We start from the raw sequence: 17,668 nt of genomic DNA, 5'->3' as shown, positions 1-17,668 counted from the left end.
CTGTTGGCAATGACCCAGGCTAGCTAGAATGGTGACTTGAATGAGGGTAGTAGCAGTAGAGATAAAATGGTAGTCACAAGGAAATGGAGAGAGGGAGATTGATCAGGTAGCAATCACCAATCTTGGGTTTGGTCGGCTGGGTTAGGGTGGCACAGAGATAAGTAATATGGTTGAGTGTGGGAGTACACAGTCCAATACAGTGAGAGCTGGGGTGCGCTTAGTCCAGAACATACGGCAAAGGCTGGCCAAAGGCGGGGAAGGGCGTGGTGGGAAGCTCTGTCCGCGGTCGCGCCAGCTGTTCCCCGGGCAGGGTCGCCTCTAGGTGCTCACCTCCGCCACTTCGCCATGGCGGGTCCTGGCCCGGGCGCGGTGCTGGAGTCCCCCCGGCAGCTGCTGGGCCGCGTGCGCTTCTTGGCAGAGGCAGCGCGGAGCCTCCGCGCCGGGCGGCCGCTGCCAGCAGCGCTGGCTTTCGTGCCGCGAGAGGTGCTCTACAAGCTTTACAAGGACCCAGCGGGACCGTCGCGCGTGCTTCTGCCGGTGTGGGAGGCAGAGGGCCTGGGGCTGCGTGTGGGCGCCGCAGGCCCAGCCCCCGGTACCGGCTCCGGGCCCCTCCGCGCCGCCCGCGACAGCATTGAGCTCCGGCGCGGCGCCTGCGTGCGCACCACGGGCGAGGAGCTGTGCAATGGCCACGGGCTCTGGGTGAAGCTGACAAAGGTGCGCTCTTCCCTGCCCAGGACCCGGTAAAAGACCCCTGGGGCCAGAGAAACCTCTGGCTGTTTGCCTTTTCTCCCCTGTATTGAGTTGGCATTGCGTTCGGCGCCCTTTGCCCTGGGCTGGGCACGACAGGCGGCTGGGCAGTTCCCTGACGGCTGTCCCCATCCTACGCGTCCCGGCAGGAGCAGCTGGCAGAGCACCTGGGCGACTGCGGGCTGCAGGAAGGCTGGCTGCTGGTGTGCCGCCCGGCGGAGGGCGGAGCCCGCCTGGTACCCATCGACACTCCCAACCACCTCCAGCGGCAGCAGCAGCTCTTTGGCGTGGATTATCGGCCGGTGCTCAGGTACTGCACTTGAAGGAGCGGGGCTGGCTGTCAGAAGGCCGGGCCAGGAGGGCTTGGGAACACTTCAGCCACAGCCTGGGGTGGGTGGGATACTGGAGCGGAGGCAGGGTTAAGAGCAGAAAGGGGCGGGACGTGAAGGGGGCTCGGAGGGAGACTGGGAGATAGAGCCCTGAAGAAGGCTACACGGCATGGAGGTAGTGTCTTGCTGACCGCTGATGTCTCCCCATCCCACTCCCTACTCTGTGCCCACAGGTGGGAACAGGTGGTGGACCTGACATACTCACATCGCCTGGGATCGAGACCTCAGCCGGCAGAGGCATACGCAGAAGCTGTACAAAGGCTACTGTGAGTGAGCTGGAATGGGGTGGGGAGGAAGGAGCTCTGCGTCTGGGCCCAGTCTAATTAGGGGCTTGGGGTTGCTTAGCTATGTACCCCCGACATGGACCTACGAGTGCGACGAGGACCTGATCCACTTCTTGTATGACCACCTGGGCAAGGAGGATGAGAACCTGGGTAGCGTGAAGCAGTATGTGGAGAGCATAGACGTTTCCTCCTACACGGTGGGTGCTGGGGCTCCTCCCACCCCAGGCAAGATATAGTCACACCCCTCAAGGCTAGATCCAGAAAGAACCCCCACCTGCAGGCCAGGACTAAAACAGGGTCCCCACAGGCCACACTCAGTTCAGCTCCCCATCTTGGACGTCTATAGGACCCCTTACATACCCAGCGGCCCCCTATCCCATACCAGTTGCCTGTTAGCCCAACTTCACTATGCTTTCTCTCTGGTGCTCCTGGCCCAGAGCACAAGCCCAGTGCAGGGAGGGAGGGTAACTGCTGACTTCACGTCTCTGCCCCTCCCCAGGAGGAGTTCAACGTGTCCTGCCTGACAGACAGCAATGCCGATACCTACTGGGAGAGCGATGGGTCCCAGTGCCAACACTGGGTACGGCTTACTATGAAGAAGGGCACCATTGTCAAGTAAGTAGGCTCTGGGCAGGACAGGGTGGGTGGGCTATGTCCCTGTGGGTTCACAAAGACTCATATTCACACTCTGACCCTTCAGGAAGCTGCTACTCACAGTGGATACCACAGATGACAACTTTATGCCAAAGCGGGTGGTGGTCTATGGGGGTGAAGGGGACAACCTGAAGAAGCTGAGTGACGTGAGCATTGACGAGTGAGCACGCTGGCCTGGGGAGGGAAGTAGGGCATGTTCCAAGCCTAGCCCAGCTTGAAAGCCTAAGTTTGAGTGAGACTCCAGCAGTCTCTGAAGGCCTGAGGCAGGAGGTATCTGAAGTGCTTCACACTCATCTCCTCAGGACCCTCATCGGGGATGTCTGTGTCCTGGAGGACATGACCGTCCACCTCCCGATCATCGAGATCCGCATCGTGGAGTGCCGAGGTGAGGTTTAAGGCTATAAGGAGGGAAAGAGAGCCCGGCGTGGAGATGGGGGCAAACAGAGAGTGTGTGTGGAGAGAAGAGGATGGGCTTGGAGTTGGGGTGAAGGCGATGCTGAACTAACTCCAGGATTTGGAGCTTTGGGGCCTGAGCCAGCTGGGACATGCCAGGTATAGGCCTGCCTTAAAGCCATACAGGTGGTTGGGCTCACCTGGAAGAGGAACTGAGTTGGGACCCTCAGGCATCCCAGCATTCTAGTGGAAGACAGAGGAATCAGCAGGAATAGATCAATCAGAATCAGGTGATAGAAGGTGATCCCGAAGGTCCCGAGTTTCTAGGGGCTAACGGTGACACAAGGCTGAGCGTTCAAGGAGCCGGTCCCAGGTCTGAGGGCCAAGGAGGCAGCAGGTGCTGTAAATGACCTTACTCTGACCCCTTCCCCCAGATGATGGGATTGATGTTCGTCTCCGAGGGGTCAAGATCAAGTCATCTAGACAGCGGGAACTAGGGTTGAATGCAGACCTGTTCCAGCCAACTAGTCTGGTGCGATATCCACGCCTAGAAGGCACCGACCCTGAAGTACTGTACCGCAGAGCTGTCCTCCTGCAGAGGTGGCTGTGGTCCTGGACCTATGGGCCCTTCCCTTCCCCCAACATTGAGCCTTGTGTGTCTGCATGGAGGAGGTTCCCAAGGTCTCATAGTATAAGCTGTTCAAGGGTCAGAGAAGCCCCCAGGTCCTGCCTTTTCCTGTCCCTTTATGTTGGGGAGTTGGGGGTGTTACAGGTATGCTAAACTCTTTAGCTGCAGTCTATCTACCCATGCCAGATTCATCAAGATCCTCGATAGTGTCCTGCACCACCTGGTACCTGCCTGGGACCACACACTGGGCACCTTCAGTGAGATTAAGGTGAGCCGACCCAGCCAGTGCTGGTCTTGGCATTTCCCCTTCCTGCTCACGTAGTTGTTCATTCCTTAGCAGAGTTCCTAAAATCTACTCTAGGGCAAGACCTTTGCTGGGTCTGGGAACATAGGAAGAAAGCCAGAACAAATGGTCCAAATTTAGTGTTTGGGAGGCTGTTCCCCAGCCTCCTTGGTATTCCAGAGTGTGTGGAATACCCAAGGGCTATTGACAGCACAGGCAGGGCAGTTTGCGTGAAAGGTACATACAGGGAGTTACCAGCAGCTCAAGATGTCTTGAGAAAAGTGTGCCAGTAGGTGTGAGTATGACAGAGGGATGAGGGTGGAAGGATGTGGGCAGGAGACAGGTCCTGGTTGCAGAGGGCCCTGTGGGCCAGGCTGTGAAGCAAGGACTTTGTCCCAGGGTAGTGGAGCTGTTGGAAAGGTAAGGAAGGTAATGACAGTATTAGATTTTTTTGTTTTAGAAAGCTCTCCCTGGTGGCTGAACTAAGGAGGGGACTGGAGACAAAGACAGGGATGGACTAGACTTGAACTGAAACGGTGGAATTGGATACAGGCAGAGGGGAAAGTTCCAGGGCCTGGACGGAGGCTGACTGCCCACTCATTCCTGCTCTGGCCACCTCTCCTCACTAGCAAGTGAAGCAGTTCCTACTGCTGTCCCGCCAGCGGCCAGGCCTGGTGGCTCAGTGCCTGCGTGACTCTGAGAGCAGCAAGCCCAGCTTCATGCCACGCCTATACATCAACCGCCGTCTTGCCATGGAACACCGTGCCTGCCCCTCTCGAGACCCTGCCTGCAAGAATGCAGTCTTCACCCAGGTCTGCACCACCTAGGGTCCGACTGAGATAGGATCAGTCAAGGGCCAAGGGGGCTAGGCCAAGAGGGACCTGAACAAGTTCTTGGGGCAAGTATAGGGCCAGGTCTTGCTTTCCTATGACTCCTTTCCTCCTTGCCTCCAGGTATATGAAGGCCTCAAGCCCTCTGACAAATATGAAAAGCCCCTGGACTACAGGTATGGCATGAGAGTGAGGGACTTACTCGGGACACCTGTTTGTGCACACAAACACACACAAACACACACACACACACACACACACACACACAACTGCTCGAGGCACCCCTCGCCATGACTGCTTTTCCCAGGTGGTCTCTGAGCTGATGAATTGTGCTGCACCTGGCCCCACATAATGACAAATCTGCCCACGTTTTTTGCAGGTGGCCCATGCGCTATGACCAGTGGTGGGAGTGTAAATTTATTGCAGAAGGCATCATTGACCAAGGTGAGGCCCTGAGGGAGGATCTCAAGGGTCCTGCTTGCTGCCCTATCAAAGTGGTAGAGGCTTTTCACCAGCTAATGATGATGGGGGACCTATTCATTACCCCATTATGGGAGCTGGGCTCTTGAGTGCCCAGCTGAGGGCATCTGTCATTTCAGGGGGTGGTTTCCGGGACAGCCTGGCAGATATGTCAGAAGAGCTGTGCCCTAGCTCAGCGGATACCCCCGTGCCCCTGCCCTTCTTTGTACGCACAGCCAACCAGGTAATCTCCGTTTCCATCTCTGCAAACCTCCCAGGTGCCAGATTGAGCTAGAAAGGGGGCAGAGGAGGGGGCCAGATTGAGCTAGAAAGGGGGCAGGCACAGTGGCTCACGCCTGTAATCCCAGCACTTTGGGAAGCCGAGGCGGGCAGATCACGAGGTCAGGAGTTCAAGACCAGCCTGGCCAATGAAGTGAAGCCCCATCTCTATAAAAATAAAAAATTAGCCGGGCGTGGTGGCACGCGCCTGTAGTCCCAGCTACATGGGAGGCTGAAGCAGGCGACTCGCTTGAACCCAGGAGACGGAGGTTGCAGTGAGCCGAGATCACGCCACTGCACTCCAGCCTGGGTGACACAGTGAGACTCTGTCTCAAAAAAAAAAAAAAATAGAAATAGGGCAGAGGAGGGACTGAGTTGCTCAGGGCAACCTCTGGGCAGACAGGGAGAGGAGGAGCCACTGTGCATTTGAAGGGATCATTTAGTGGAAAATGTTCCCAGTGGAAAATGTTCAGGGAAGTCTTTGGGCCAGGAAAATAGGGTGTATCTCATGCCACACTCACAGCTCTGTCTCTGGGGCAGGGCAATGGCACTGGTGAGGCTCGGGACATGTATGTACCCAACCCCTCCTGCCGAGACTTTGCCAAGTATGAATGGATCGGACAGCTGATGGGGGCTGCCCTTCGGGGTAAGGAGTTCCTGGTGAGTAGCCTTATCCACACCCCCGTCCGATCAGCCCTGGCCCTTGGAAGGAAAGGCCAGCCAAACCTGGGCAGCTCAGGGTGAGAAGACAGTGGGGAGTGTTTGTCACACAGGTCCTGGCCCTGCCTGGTTTTGTGTGGAAGCAGCTTTCTGGTGAGGAGGTGAGCTGGAGCAAGGACTTCCCAGCTGTGGACTCTGTGCTGGTGAGTAGGACCTGGAACCAGTGTTTCCTCTGCCCAGCCCCTAAAGGTTGGTCCTCCCTAAGGCTGTTCTGTACCTTGTTCTTTCACCACACACAAGATCCCTCTCCAATCCATCCACTCCCATGGCTTCAACTACTGTCTGTAGACTCGTGACCCCTAAAATCCTGACCTCTAGCCCCAGCCTCTCCTAAGCCTGGGGCCATATATGTATCTGTACCCTCGACGTTTGCCCCAAGATGGCATCTCAGGCTCAGTGTGTTCTTTATCTTCTCCGAAGACTACTCCCCTCTAGGGCTCCTGCCTCAGAAGGGCACCATGTCCCACTCCTCCCCATCCCAAAGCCCACAGGGCCATCCTTCACCCCTTCTTCTCCCTCGCCACCATATTCTTAAGTCTTCCTCTGTAATCTGTTTGCTTTTCCTGTCTCACTACTGTCTCCCTGCCTGGTTGAGGACACCTTTCCTCCTTAGCTAATCACTTACTAAAAAGCTGGTGTCCCTGTCTCCGTTCTTACCCGTTTGGTCTCCATGCAGCCACAGTAATTCATTTCACTCTCCTTATTTAAACTCATTGATGGCTCGGCCCTGGGCTTAGGATAGAATGCAGAATCTGTAAAGGCCTTACGTGAACCCTGTGTCTCCAGCCACTTGGTTCACATTCAGGCTCCAGCCACACAGTTTCCTTAGGCCTTTTGCTCTTTCCAGCTTTCTCCAAGATGTTCTCTCTCCTAACTTCCCTTATGTCCCAGCCATCATTTGGGTCTCAGCTGAGACACCATTTTCCACAGGATGCCTCCTCTGGCCTCCAAGGCTGGTTAGGTGTTGTCTTGATGCTTTTACAGCTCTTGTACTGACACCCTCATTCCCTGCTGCCTCCATGGGGACTGCCTTGCCTGGCTGTCTCTGCTTCCCTGTGAGCATCTTGTGGAAAGACAGGGACTATCTCCACAGTGAAAAGGTTACCTCCCTGCCTCTCTCCAACCCCTAGGTGAAGCTCCTGGAAGTGATGGAAGGAATGGACAAGGAGACGTTTGAGTTCAAGTTTGGGAAGGAACTAACATTCACCACTGTACTGAGTGACCAACAGGTGGTGGAGCTGATCCCTGGGGGTGCAGGCATCGTCGTGGGATATGGGGACCGTTCTCGTTTCATCCAACTGGTCCAGAAGGCACGGCTAGAGGAGAGCAAGGAGCAGGTAGTACCCAGAGGCTAGTAGAGCAGAGAGCTTTGGCCCCTCCTGAGCCCCAGCTCCTGGGACCCAGAACACAGCCTGTAAGCCACCAGTACTCCAAGAACTCTGGCCCCCACCATTCCTCAGTGCCACCTTTCTGCTGCTAAAAGGCCACAGTGATGCCCCCCAGTGTGAGGCGGGAGGTGTGCCCTCTTCCCCAGCCAAGCCTTTTTACCCACTCCCCAGGTGGCAGCTATGCAGGCAGGTCTGCTGAAGGTGGTACCACAGGCTGTGCTGGACTTGCTGACCTGGCAAGAGTTGGAGAAGAAAGTGTGTGGGGATCCAGAGGTCACTGTGGATGCTCTGCGCAAGCTCAGTGAGTTCCCCAAGGCAGGGCAGGGCAGGGCAGCACAGCACAGCACAGGGGTTGGGGCTCAAGGACTGGGCAAGATGAGACCCAAGAATGAATGCTGGCCTTGTCTCCACCAGCCCGGTTTGAGGACTTCGAGCCATCTGACTCGCGGGTGCAGTATTTCTGGGAGGCACTGAACAACTTCACCAACGGTCAGTGGAGGAGGGCAGGGTGACACCTGGGTTTGGACTCTGCTGCTGAGTTGCAGAGGCAGGGTAGAAGTTGTAGACCCTCCCTCACCATCCATGCAGGCACTGATTTCCTTCTCCCTCCAGAGGACCGGAGCCGCTTCCTGCGCTTTGTCACGGGCCGCAGTCGCCTGCCAGCACGGATCTACATCTACCCAGACAAGCTGGGGTGAGTGCTGGAGGGAGGCCTGAAGGTGCCATGGCCGCCTTCTGTCCTCCCTCCCCACACACGTACATGTGCCCCAACACATCTTCCTGACCTATGGTCCCTCAATGCCCCCAGCTACGAGACCACAGACGCGCTGCCCGAGTCTTCCACTTGCTCCAGCACCCTCTTCCTGCCACACTATGCCAGGTGGGTTTTTTCCTAGGCTCGATTTGGGGCCCAGGGGACCCCATCACCCCTGGTAGCGATGTAGGGACCTGACCAAGTCCCCATTCCCACAGTGCCAAGGTATGCGAGGAGAAGCTCCGCTATGCGGCCTACAACTGCGTGGCCATCGACACTGACATGAGCCCTTGGGAGGAGTGAGGCGTGCCGCCGGCTGTGGGACCAGCAAGACTGCACGTGTCCCTCTTGGCCTTGCCCAGGGCGAAGACACCTTCCCTGCCCTGGTTTGGCTGACGTGCTCAGCAAAACCCCATGTGCCCTGCTCCTGTGTGCAGTTGGGGTAGGGGCAGCTGGCATGGTCAGGTAACACTAGTGGCCCAGCCCCGCAGACCCACAAGCCCTACCCGTGCTGGGGCTTGCTTCCCGAGGTATTTCACCTCTTAAGAGGGAATCTTCCACAAGCCCAGCACAAGCTGCCAGGCCTGAGCTACTTGAAGGGGGCCATCTAGGTCCCCAACCCATGGACTTTGCCTCCATTTTCAGCTCCGCCTTTTTTCTCCTATTTTCTCTCTGGCTTTCTTCAGCCATGACTCACAACTAAAAACATAAAACACTGGAGGTTAGTGGAGGCCCCTCCCCAAGCAGGGAGCCTGGGATGGGCAGGGAGTGATAGCCAAACTCCTTGGTCACCTGCTCCAAGAAGGAAGCAGTAGCTGAGCACCTGCCCTCACATTCTGCTCTTTTCCCCTCTCCCTCCATACCAGAGATGTGGTGAGCTCTGTTCTTCTACCAACCCAGTCTCAACACACAAAGTGCCACCACCTTCCCTGACTCAGAACCCACATCCACTCAATGTGAACTCTACTACCACGACCTCCCCATATTCCTCACTTCTCCATCACCTCCAGCCTGACTCCCTGTCTGCCCTTTCACCCCCAAGATTTTGCACAGGTTAAGGCCAGTTATGGCCTTTTTGAAATCTGTAATAGCTCCCCTTTCCCCAACTCTAAAGCCTAGACCTTAAACCTGTTCCTAGAGCTATGCACACCCCTGCCCCAGTTTACCGTTCCTCCCTCAGGGCCTCCGTGACACTCCATGAAAAGAAGTTCTTGCATACCGGAAAGTTGAATAAATGGATGAATTCATTCCTTCAGAATGTGTTTATTGGGCCCTGGGCTTAGGCACAGGGTCACAAGGAGAAATTGACTTTAGTGTCCTACTCGGAGCCAAGAAGATGGATGTGAAATGCAAGTAGAGGTTTCTCAGTGACAGACTTTGCACAGTTACATATCTGGGGCTGAGCAGAGACGTAAGGGCCCCACTGCGCAGAAAAGGGAAAACAAGCAAACAGGCTGGCCTGGCATTTTCTGGCATGGATATGGTGATTTGGAGGATGGGAGTCCACTTCTGGAGCCAAGTGGGCAGAAGAATTTGACATCATAGAAGACAGAGACGGGAGGGCTGACAAACCAGCCAGGTCAGGGTTGTTGACAGAAGTGGAGGAAGTAGTGTCTTTATTACCCTGCCCCCAACCCGTTGCAGTCCTTTTTGGGTGTTTGTTTGTTTGTTTGTTTGTTTGGGTCTCTGTTGCTTAGGCTGGCGTGTAGTGGTGCAGTCACGGCTTACTCCAGCCTGGGCCTCCTGGGCTCCAGTGATCTTCCCACCTCAGCCTCCTGAGTAGCTGGGACCACAAGTATGCCACCGCTTCTGGGTAATTTTTTGCAGAGATAGGGGTCTCCCTATGTTGAACAGGTTGTTCTCGAACTCCTGGCCTCAGGCATTCCTCCCACCTCAGCCTCCCAGAGTGCTAGGATTACAGGCCTGAGTAGTCTTCAAGAACAAGTACCTGGGGCCGGCGACTCATACCTGGAATTCCAGCACTTTGGGAGGCTGAGGTGGGCGGACCACTTGAGCCCAGGAGTTGGAGACCAGCCTGGCCAACGTGGTGAAACCCTCTCTCTATTAAAAATACGAAAATGAGCAGGGCTTGGGTGCGTGTCTGTGGTGCCAGTTGGGAGACTGAGGTGGGAGGATCGCTTGAGCCTAGGAGGTGGAGGTTGTAGTGAGCCAAGATCATGCCACTGCACTTCAGCCTGGGCAACAGAGTGAGACCCTCTATCCAAAAAAAAAAAAAGGAGTATCAGGGAGAACCCTGTGTACGAACAGTCCCCCTACACCCCCACAGTGGCCAGTCACGCTCTCAAGCACAGCCCCAGGGTCCCAGTCGTCTCAGAGTCCAGGTACAATGTGAGACCTTGTGGTGGCTGATTGTCCAGATAAGTGGCTTGGCGGAGTCTCGCCCTGGCAACTCTTCCCCTTCTTGTCCTCTAGGGCACTCCCTGACACTGCCCTAGTTGGGAAACTTACTGTGCAAGAGGTTGATCTCTGCCTGCACTGTGTGCACCCTGAGACCTATCCCAAAACACGGAACTTGACAGCTCAGTCTCTCGGCTGCCACCGCCTCCCCTGTACCCCTGCACCTTGGGTGGTGAACCCCCTTCCCTTCCAGGAAGCAGAAGGCACAGAAACCCCCAAGGCCACCACTTCCACCCAGCTCTGCTCTTCCCAAGTCAGGGTGCACCTCTCCCTTCTCTCCCCTCAGGAAAGGGCCCAGGCCACGTGCTCCTACAGGAAGTAGCCAGTTTCTGTGCCTGGTATGGTCACATGAACTCTTTAGTCCCTTTTTTACTCACACTGTATATTTTGTAGCCTGCATTTCATTTAACCCTTCATTCATTCAATAAACTAATATGCATCAAGCCCCTAGGTCAGGCACTGCACTAGGTGAATGGATAAAATCGTGGCTAAAGCAGTGATAATTTTTACCCTTATGGGATTTAAACTCTAATGGGAAAGACATACAAACAAAGAGTTGCATAAACAACACTTAAGAACACTTTTGTAAAAGCTACAAAGAAGTGAAAATTGTTAGGGGACAGAACAGGATCGTTCTAACCAATGCAGCTCAATGAAATGCGAAATTCCTAAGGCATGTAACTCAACACAGAGGCCAGCTGAGAAGACTGTTGAGTACTGTGTTGCTGGAGTGTAAAAGAAAGAGAGAAATGAGACTCCAGTCTTATAAGGCCAGTTTTAGGATTTTATAATGAGCAGCCCTGAGGGCATTAAGCAAGAAAGTGACATAACTATATTTGCCTTGGTGGCTGTGTAGAGAATGGGTTGAGAAGGATACAGGTGGCAGGGATTAATCAAAGCAGGAAATGATGACGACTGGGCCAAGGGGGCACTCATTTTAACCATTATTATTATTATTATTTATACAGCGTGTCTGTCGCCCAGGTTGGAGTGCAGTGGCGTGATCTCGGCTCACTGCAACCTCCGCCTCCCGGGTTCAAACAATTCTCCTGCCCCAGCCTCCTGAGTAGCTGGGATTACAGGCGCCCGCCACCATGCCCGGCTAATTTTTTATTTTTAGTAAAGACGGCGTTTCACCATGTTGGCCAGGCTGGTCTCGAATTCCTGACCTCATGTGATCTGTCTGCCTTGGCCTCCCAAAGTGCTGGGATTACAGGCATGAGCCACTGCGCCTGGCCGACCATTATTTTTATAGGTAGCAATTGTATTACATTATAAGGAACTTTCATAATTTGTATTTATTTTAAAACCTCTACAGATGGACATTAAGATTGTTCACAAATTTTCAACACTAAAAACTACAGATGTTGCAATAAACATCCTCATGCATATACCATTGCAATATCTATTTATTTCCTTAGAATAACTTCTTAAAATGACTTCATCAAACTGCGAAACTGCCCTGTAAGAAGGATGAATCAATTTTCATTCCCTCTAGTGTCTATTTCCTAAACTCTCACCACCTTTGAGCATTAACACTTAAAAATGTTTTTTGTCAATTCAGTGTGCTGGAAAATGGTAAAATTGTTATGTTTTATTTGCATTGCTTTGTTTACTATATGGAGCCATTATTTTTCTTCTTTATGAGCTATGCTTCATATATTTTTGTCCATTTTTCTGTTGTCTTCATTATATTTTTCTTATTGATTTGTAGCAACCTTTGCATGGTACTAAAATAATAAAAGCTTGGTAGTTGCTGATCATCCTCTTAGCAAAGCACTGTGCTAAGTAACATACATTTACTGTCTTGTTTTATCTTTTCAACAACTCTGTGAAGTAAGTACTATTACTATGCCCTTTTCCAGATGAGAAACCTAGAGCAACGAGGAATTAAATTACTTGCCCAGGATAAGTGGTTAAGTGATGGAGATTAGGATGGTAGTCTGCCAGCTCCAAAGCCAACTGACTCAGTAACTGAGGTGTTATATCCTAATCCCTTTGTCCGTCATGTCAGGTGTTGCAAATGTTTTCCTAGTCTGTCCTTTGCCTTTTAATTTCATGCATGTTCTTTTCTAATGTAAAAAGTTCAAAAATTTTTTAATAATTTTTTTTTTTTTAGATGGAGTTTCGCTGTTGTTGCCCAGGCTGGAGTGCAATGGCGCGATCTCTGCTCACCGCAACCTCTGCCTCCCGGGTTCTAGCAATTTTCCTGCCTCAGCTTCCTTAGTAGCTAGGATTATAGGCATGCGCCACCACGCTCGGCTAATTTTGTATTTTTAGTAGAGACGGGGTTTCTCCACGTTGGTCAGGCTGGTCTCGAACTCCCGACCTCAGGTGATCCGCCTGCCTCAGCCTCCCAAAGTGCTGGGATTACAGGCATGAGCCACTGCGCCCAGCCACATTTTTTAATAATTTATTTATTTTTGTTATGATTATTTTTTTAGACAGGGTCACTCTGTCCCCCAGGCTGGAGTGCAGTGGCATAAGCTTGGCTCACTGCACCCTCCACCTCCAGGCCAAGTGATCCTCCCACCTCAGCCTCCCAAGTAGCTGGGACTACAGGCATGCACCACCACACCCAGCCAAGTTGTTTTTTTTTTTTTTTTTTTTTTGTAGAGCTAGGGTCTCAGCATGTTGCCCAGGCTGGTCTTGAACTCCTGGGCTCAAGCAATCTGCCTGCCTCGGCCTCCCAAAGTGCTAGGATTACAGGCATGAGCCACCACGCCTGGCCAATAATTTTTTATTTTTCATTTTTGTGGGTATATAGGTTTATATATTTATGGGGTACATGAGATGTTTTGATACAGGCATGCAATGTGTTATATTCACATCAGGGTAAATGGGGGTATTCATCCCCTCAAGCATTTATCCTTTGTGTTGCAAACAATCCAATTATACCGTTTTAGTTGGTTTGGTTTGGTTTGGTTTTTTGAGACAGAGTTTTGCTCTGCAGGCTGGAGTGCAGTGGCATGATCTCGGCTCACTGCAACCTTCACCTCCCAGGTTCAAGCGATTATTCCACCTCAGCCTCCCAAGTAGCTGGGATTACAGGCGCAAGCCACCATGCCTGGCTAATTTTTGTATTTTTAGTAGAGATGGGGTTTCACCATGTTGGCCAGGCTGGTCTCAAACTCCTGACCTCAGGTGATCTGCCCAACTCAGCCTCCCAAAATGCTGGGATTACAGGTGTGAACCACCATGCCTGGCCTCTTTTAGCTGTTTTTAAATGTACAATTAAATTATTATTGACTATAGTCACCCTGTTGTGCTTTCAAACACAAGGCATTACTCATTCAAACTCTTTTTTGTACTCGTTAACCATGCTTATCTCCCCTTAATCCCCCCACTCCCCTTCCCAGCCTCTGGTAACCATCCTTCTACTCTCTATCTCTATGGGTTCAGTTGTTGATTTTTAAACCTCAAAATGTTTATGAGCTCAAAATTTTTTCTTTGTGGAAGAACCTATATTGGATATATACCATTGGGAGGCAATATACTGTTGTGTACTAGTTAAGAGCACATTCTTTGGAATCAGCTTGACTATATCCATATTCTGGCTATGCCACGTACTAGCTGTTGACCATGGGCAAGTTGCTTAACCTTTCTGTGCCTCAGATTCCACCTTTAAATTTATTTGTTTGTTTATTTGTTTATTTTTTGAGACAGAGTTTTGCTCTTGTTGCCCAGGCTGGAGTGCAATGGCATGATCTCAGCTCACCGCAACCTCCGCCTCCCAGGTTCAAGCGATTCTCCCGCCTCAGCCTCCCAAGTAGCTGGGATTACAGGCATGCGCCACCATGCCCTGCTAATTTTGTATTTTTACTAGAGATGTGGCTTCTCCATGTTGGTCAGGCTGGTCTCGAACTCCCAACCTCAGGTGATCCGCCCGCCTCAGCCTTCCAAAGTGCTGGATTACAGGCGTGAGCCACCACGCCTGGCCTTAAATTTTTTTAATTAATTATTTTTCATTCACAATAATTGTATATATTTATGGGCTACAATATGATGTTTTGGTCTATGTATACATTGCACAAAGGGTCAATCAAGTTAATTAACATATCCATCACCTCACCAACTAATCATTTTTTGTGGCAAGAATGTGAAAAATTTATTCTTTTAGCGATTTTGAAATATACATTTTTATTAACTGTGGTCACCATGCAGTGCAATAGCTGACTAAAACCTGTTCCTACAGTCTTACTGAGATTTTGCACCCTTTGATCAACATCTTCTCTTTTACCACCCCCTAGCCCTCTCTGTTTATATGAAACAGAGTCTGGGGGACAGAATGAGACCCTGTCTAAAAAAATAATCTTAATAAAAATAAGGCCAGGCGTGGTGGCTCATGCCTGTAATCCCAGCATTTTGGGAGGCTGAGCCGGGTGGATCACTTGAGGTCAGGAGCTCGAGACCAGCCTGGTCAACATGGTGAAACCCCGTCTCTACTAAAATACAAAAATTAGCCAGGCGTGGTGGTGGGCACCTGTAATCCCAGCTACTTGGGAGGCCGAGGGAGGAGAATCGCTTGAACCTGTAAGGAGGAGGTTGCAGTGAGCCAAGATCGCACCACTGCACTCCAGCCTGGGCAACAAGAGCAAAACTCTGTCTCAAAAAGAAATAAAATTAAAAATAAAAATAAGACCAGGTGCGGTGGCTCATGCCTGTAATCTCAGCAATCTGGGAGGCCAAGGTGGGTGGATCACTTGAGCTCAGAAGTTCGAGACCAGCCTGGCCAACATGGTGAAACCCCATCTCTACTAAAATACAAAATTTAGCCAGGTGTGGTGGCAGACGCCTGTAATCTCAGCTACTTGGGAGGCTGAGGCAGGAGAATCGCTTGAACCTGGGAGGCAAAGGTTACAGTGAGCCGAGATTGCACCACTGTACTCCAGCCTGGGTGACAGGGCGAGACTCCCTCTCAATAATAATAATAATAATAAAAATAAATAAATAATTAGGCTGGGTGTGGTGGCTCACGCTTGTAATCTCAGCACTTCTGGAGGCTGAGGCAGGTGGATGGATCACTTGATGTCAGGAGTTCGAGACCAGACCGGCCAACATAGTGAAACTCCATCTCTACTAAAAATACAAAAATTAGCTGGGCATGGTGGCAGGCGCCTGTAGTCCCAGCTACTCTACTTGGGAGGCTGAGGCAGGAGCATCACTTGAACCTGGGAGGCGGGGTTGCAGTGAGCCGAGATCACACCACTGCACTCCAGCCTGGGCAACACAGTGAGACTCCAGCTCAAAATAAATAAATAAATAATTAAAAGTCAGTGAAAAAGCTACTTCCCCCCTCCCCCAGTGACAGGGTCTTGCTCTGTTGCCCAGGCTGGGGTGCAGTGGCACAGTCACGGCTCACTGCAGCCTTGACCTCCTGCGTTGAAGCAATCCTACCACCTCAGCCTCCCGCATAGCTGGGACTACGGGTGCATTCCACTACCCCTGATAATTCTTGTATTTTTTGTACAGACAGGGTTCTGTCATATTGCCCAGGGTGGTCTCAAACTCCTGGGCTCAAGAGATCCTCTGACTTCAGCCTCCCAAAGTGCTGGCATTACAGGTATGAGCCACTATGGCTGGCCAAAATCAAATTCCACTTATAAGTGAGATCACACAGTGTTTTTCTTTTTGTGCCTGGCTGATTTCACGTAGCATAATATTCTCCATCCATGTTGTTATGAATGACAGAAGATCTTTCTTTTTAAAGGCTGTATAATATTCCTGTGTGTGTGTGTGCATGTGTTTATCCACTAATACACACTTAGGTTACTTCCTTATTTTGGCTATTGTGAATAATGCTGAAATGAACATGGGAGTGCAGATTATCTCTTCAACATTCCAATTTCAATTTCTTTGGATATATACCCAGATGTGGTATTGCTGGATTGTAAGTTAATTCTTTTTTGGTGTCGTGGTTTTTGGGTTTTGCTTGTTTATTTGTTTGCTTGTTGAGAAAAGGTCTCATTCTACTGCCCAGGCTGGAGTGCAGTGGCACGATCTTGGCTCACTGCAACCTCAACCTCCTGGGCTTAAGCCATCCTCTGATCTTGGCCTCCTAAAGTGCTGGGATTTCAGGTGTGAGCCACTGTGCTAGGCTCTAATTTAAAAACAAGGGAAAAATCAGCCAGTTGAAAAGTCGTTTTCAATAAGGGGGAAAAAAATCACCAAATTGATTAAATCACTTATTTTTTAAAGTTACTCACCATTTTAGAATATGAATGCCCAGATTCTGACCTTTAAAACCACCAATGAAGAAAATTCTGTGTGCTTGAAAAGAAATACTGAAGTTCTAATTAATGAAGATTCTTTCCAAGCTCCTTTTGTTAAATACTGTAGCATCATTTTATCTCTAACTTATCATGGATCTATTGGGCAATTACTGGGCCTATGTACAAAAATAAAATGCAAGGCTGGGTGCAGTGGCTCACGCTTGTAATCCTAGTTCTTTGGGAGGCTGAGGCCGGGGGATCTCTTGAGCCCAGGAGTTCGAGACCAGCCTGGGCAACATAGTGAAACCTTGTCTCTACGAAAAACAAAAATTTTAATTAACCAGGCATGATGGCAGGCACCTGTAGTCACAGCTACTCTGGTGGCTGAGGTGGGAAGATCGCTTAAGCCCAGCAGGTCAAGGCTGCAGTGAGCTGTGATTGTGCCACTGCACTTCAGCCGAGGTGACACAGAGAGACCCTGTCTCAATCAATCAATAAAATGCAAATATTTTAGGACCTGCAATTGTTTGCCAAAGTGGAATATCTTTCATTCACTACTCTAAAAACAATAATTCCCCGCCCCACTGACAAGTCTCTGGCCAAATGGAGTAGATGAATATTGTGAGGTGGCCAGCAAATTCCCAGAGAGATCTCTAGCAGACCGTGGGAAGACTGTTTGTGAGCCAAGACCCAAATTTTGAAAGATTTCTTTTGTCTTCCACAGTTTAGAGAGCTTGCCCTTGTTAAGTTATTCCCCCACCACATATGAACACACAGACACACACACACATATATACACACAAATATCCCTTAGGGAAGAAATGAGAATAATTATGGTCAAGACGAAACAAACATTTTAGGGAATACCCTGTATTTAATAAGTATTTACTAAGTATTTCCTGTGTACTTAATAATAATAATAAATAAGCATGGGGCTAGGCATGAATTGATAGTGAGGAGGAAAGTTCGGGAGAAGAGATGTTGTCAGCGACCTGGCTCTCAGCCCAGTTTTCCCACCACCAAATGGGAAGTCAAGGGAAAATCTGTAAGATTTCAATTCATCCAATATTATTCACTTAGCACGTCCCAGGTTCTATGCTAGGTCCTGGGGAGACAGGAACAAATAAGATATAGCACTTATCTTCAAAGGGCTCCTAGTGTGATAGAGAAGACATGGAAAAGAGGATGACAATCCTTTATGGTGAGTGCCATAATGTAAGTGCTAGAAGC

At 50.8% G+C, this 17,668-nt stretch overlaps 1 protein-coding gene across 2 annotated transcripts, besides 2 other annotated features; it reads left to right on the top strand.

The window, feature by feature from the left end:
* Positions 233-362: a silencer, noted in NCBI's record as "silent region_825". NCBI's record gives its function as "represses an Ori minimal core promoter by ATAC-STARR-seq in GM12878 lymphoblastoid cells {active_cell/tissue: GM12878}" and the evidence as "EXISTENCE:reporter gene assay evidence [ECO:0000049][PMID:35858748]".
* Positions 279-9,055, top strand: HECTD3 (HECT domain E3 ubiquitin protein ligase 3). Of its 2 annotated transcripts, NM_024602.6 has the most exons (21): positions 279-714; positions 897-1,057; positions 1,310-1,402; positions 1,482-1,617; positions 1,920-2,035; positions 2,121-2,234; positions 2,377-2,459; positions 2,902-3,067; positions 3,282-3,363; positions 4,008-4,190; positions 4,332-4,384; positions 4,588-4,652; positions 4,808-4,911; positions 5,487-5,606; positions 5,720-5,809; positions 6,797-7,003; positions 7,226-7,355; positions 7,469-7,543; positions 7,667-7,748; positions 7,863-7,934; positions 8,027-9,055. In NM_024602.6, exons 1-21 carry the CDS (start codon positions 346-348, stop codon positions 8,109-8,111), a joined length of 2,586 nt encoding a protein of 861 aa, NP_078878.3. In that variant the 5' UTR covers positions 279-345; the 3' UTR covers positions 8,112-9,055. The 2 variants fall into 2 exon arrangements, with proteins under 2 accessions (NP_078878.3, XP_047286443.1); XM_047430487.1 differs by lacking the exons at positions 279-714; positions 1,482-1,617.
* Positions 443-612: a silencer, noted in NCBI's record as "silent region_824". NCBI's record gives its function as "represses an Ori minimal core promoter by ATAC-STARR-seq in GM12878 lymphoblastoid cells {active_cell/tissue: GM12878}" and the evidence as "EXISTENCE:reporter gene assay evidence [ECO:0000049][PMID:35858748]".

This window comes from Homo sapiens, chromosome 1 (genome assembly GCF_000001405.40).
Source record: "Homo sapiens chromosome 1, GRCh38.p14 Primary Assembly".
NCBI classification, from domain to species: Eukaryota; Metazoa; Chordata; class Mammalia; order Primates; family Hominidae; genus Homo; species Homo sapiens.
Note: the sequence above shows the minus strand (reverse complement) of the source record. Positions and strands in the feature narration are given on the sequence as shown.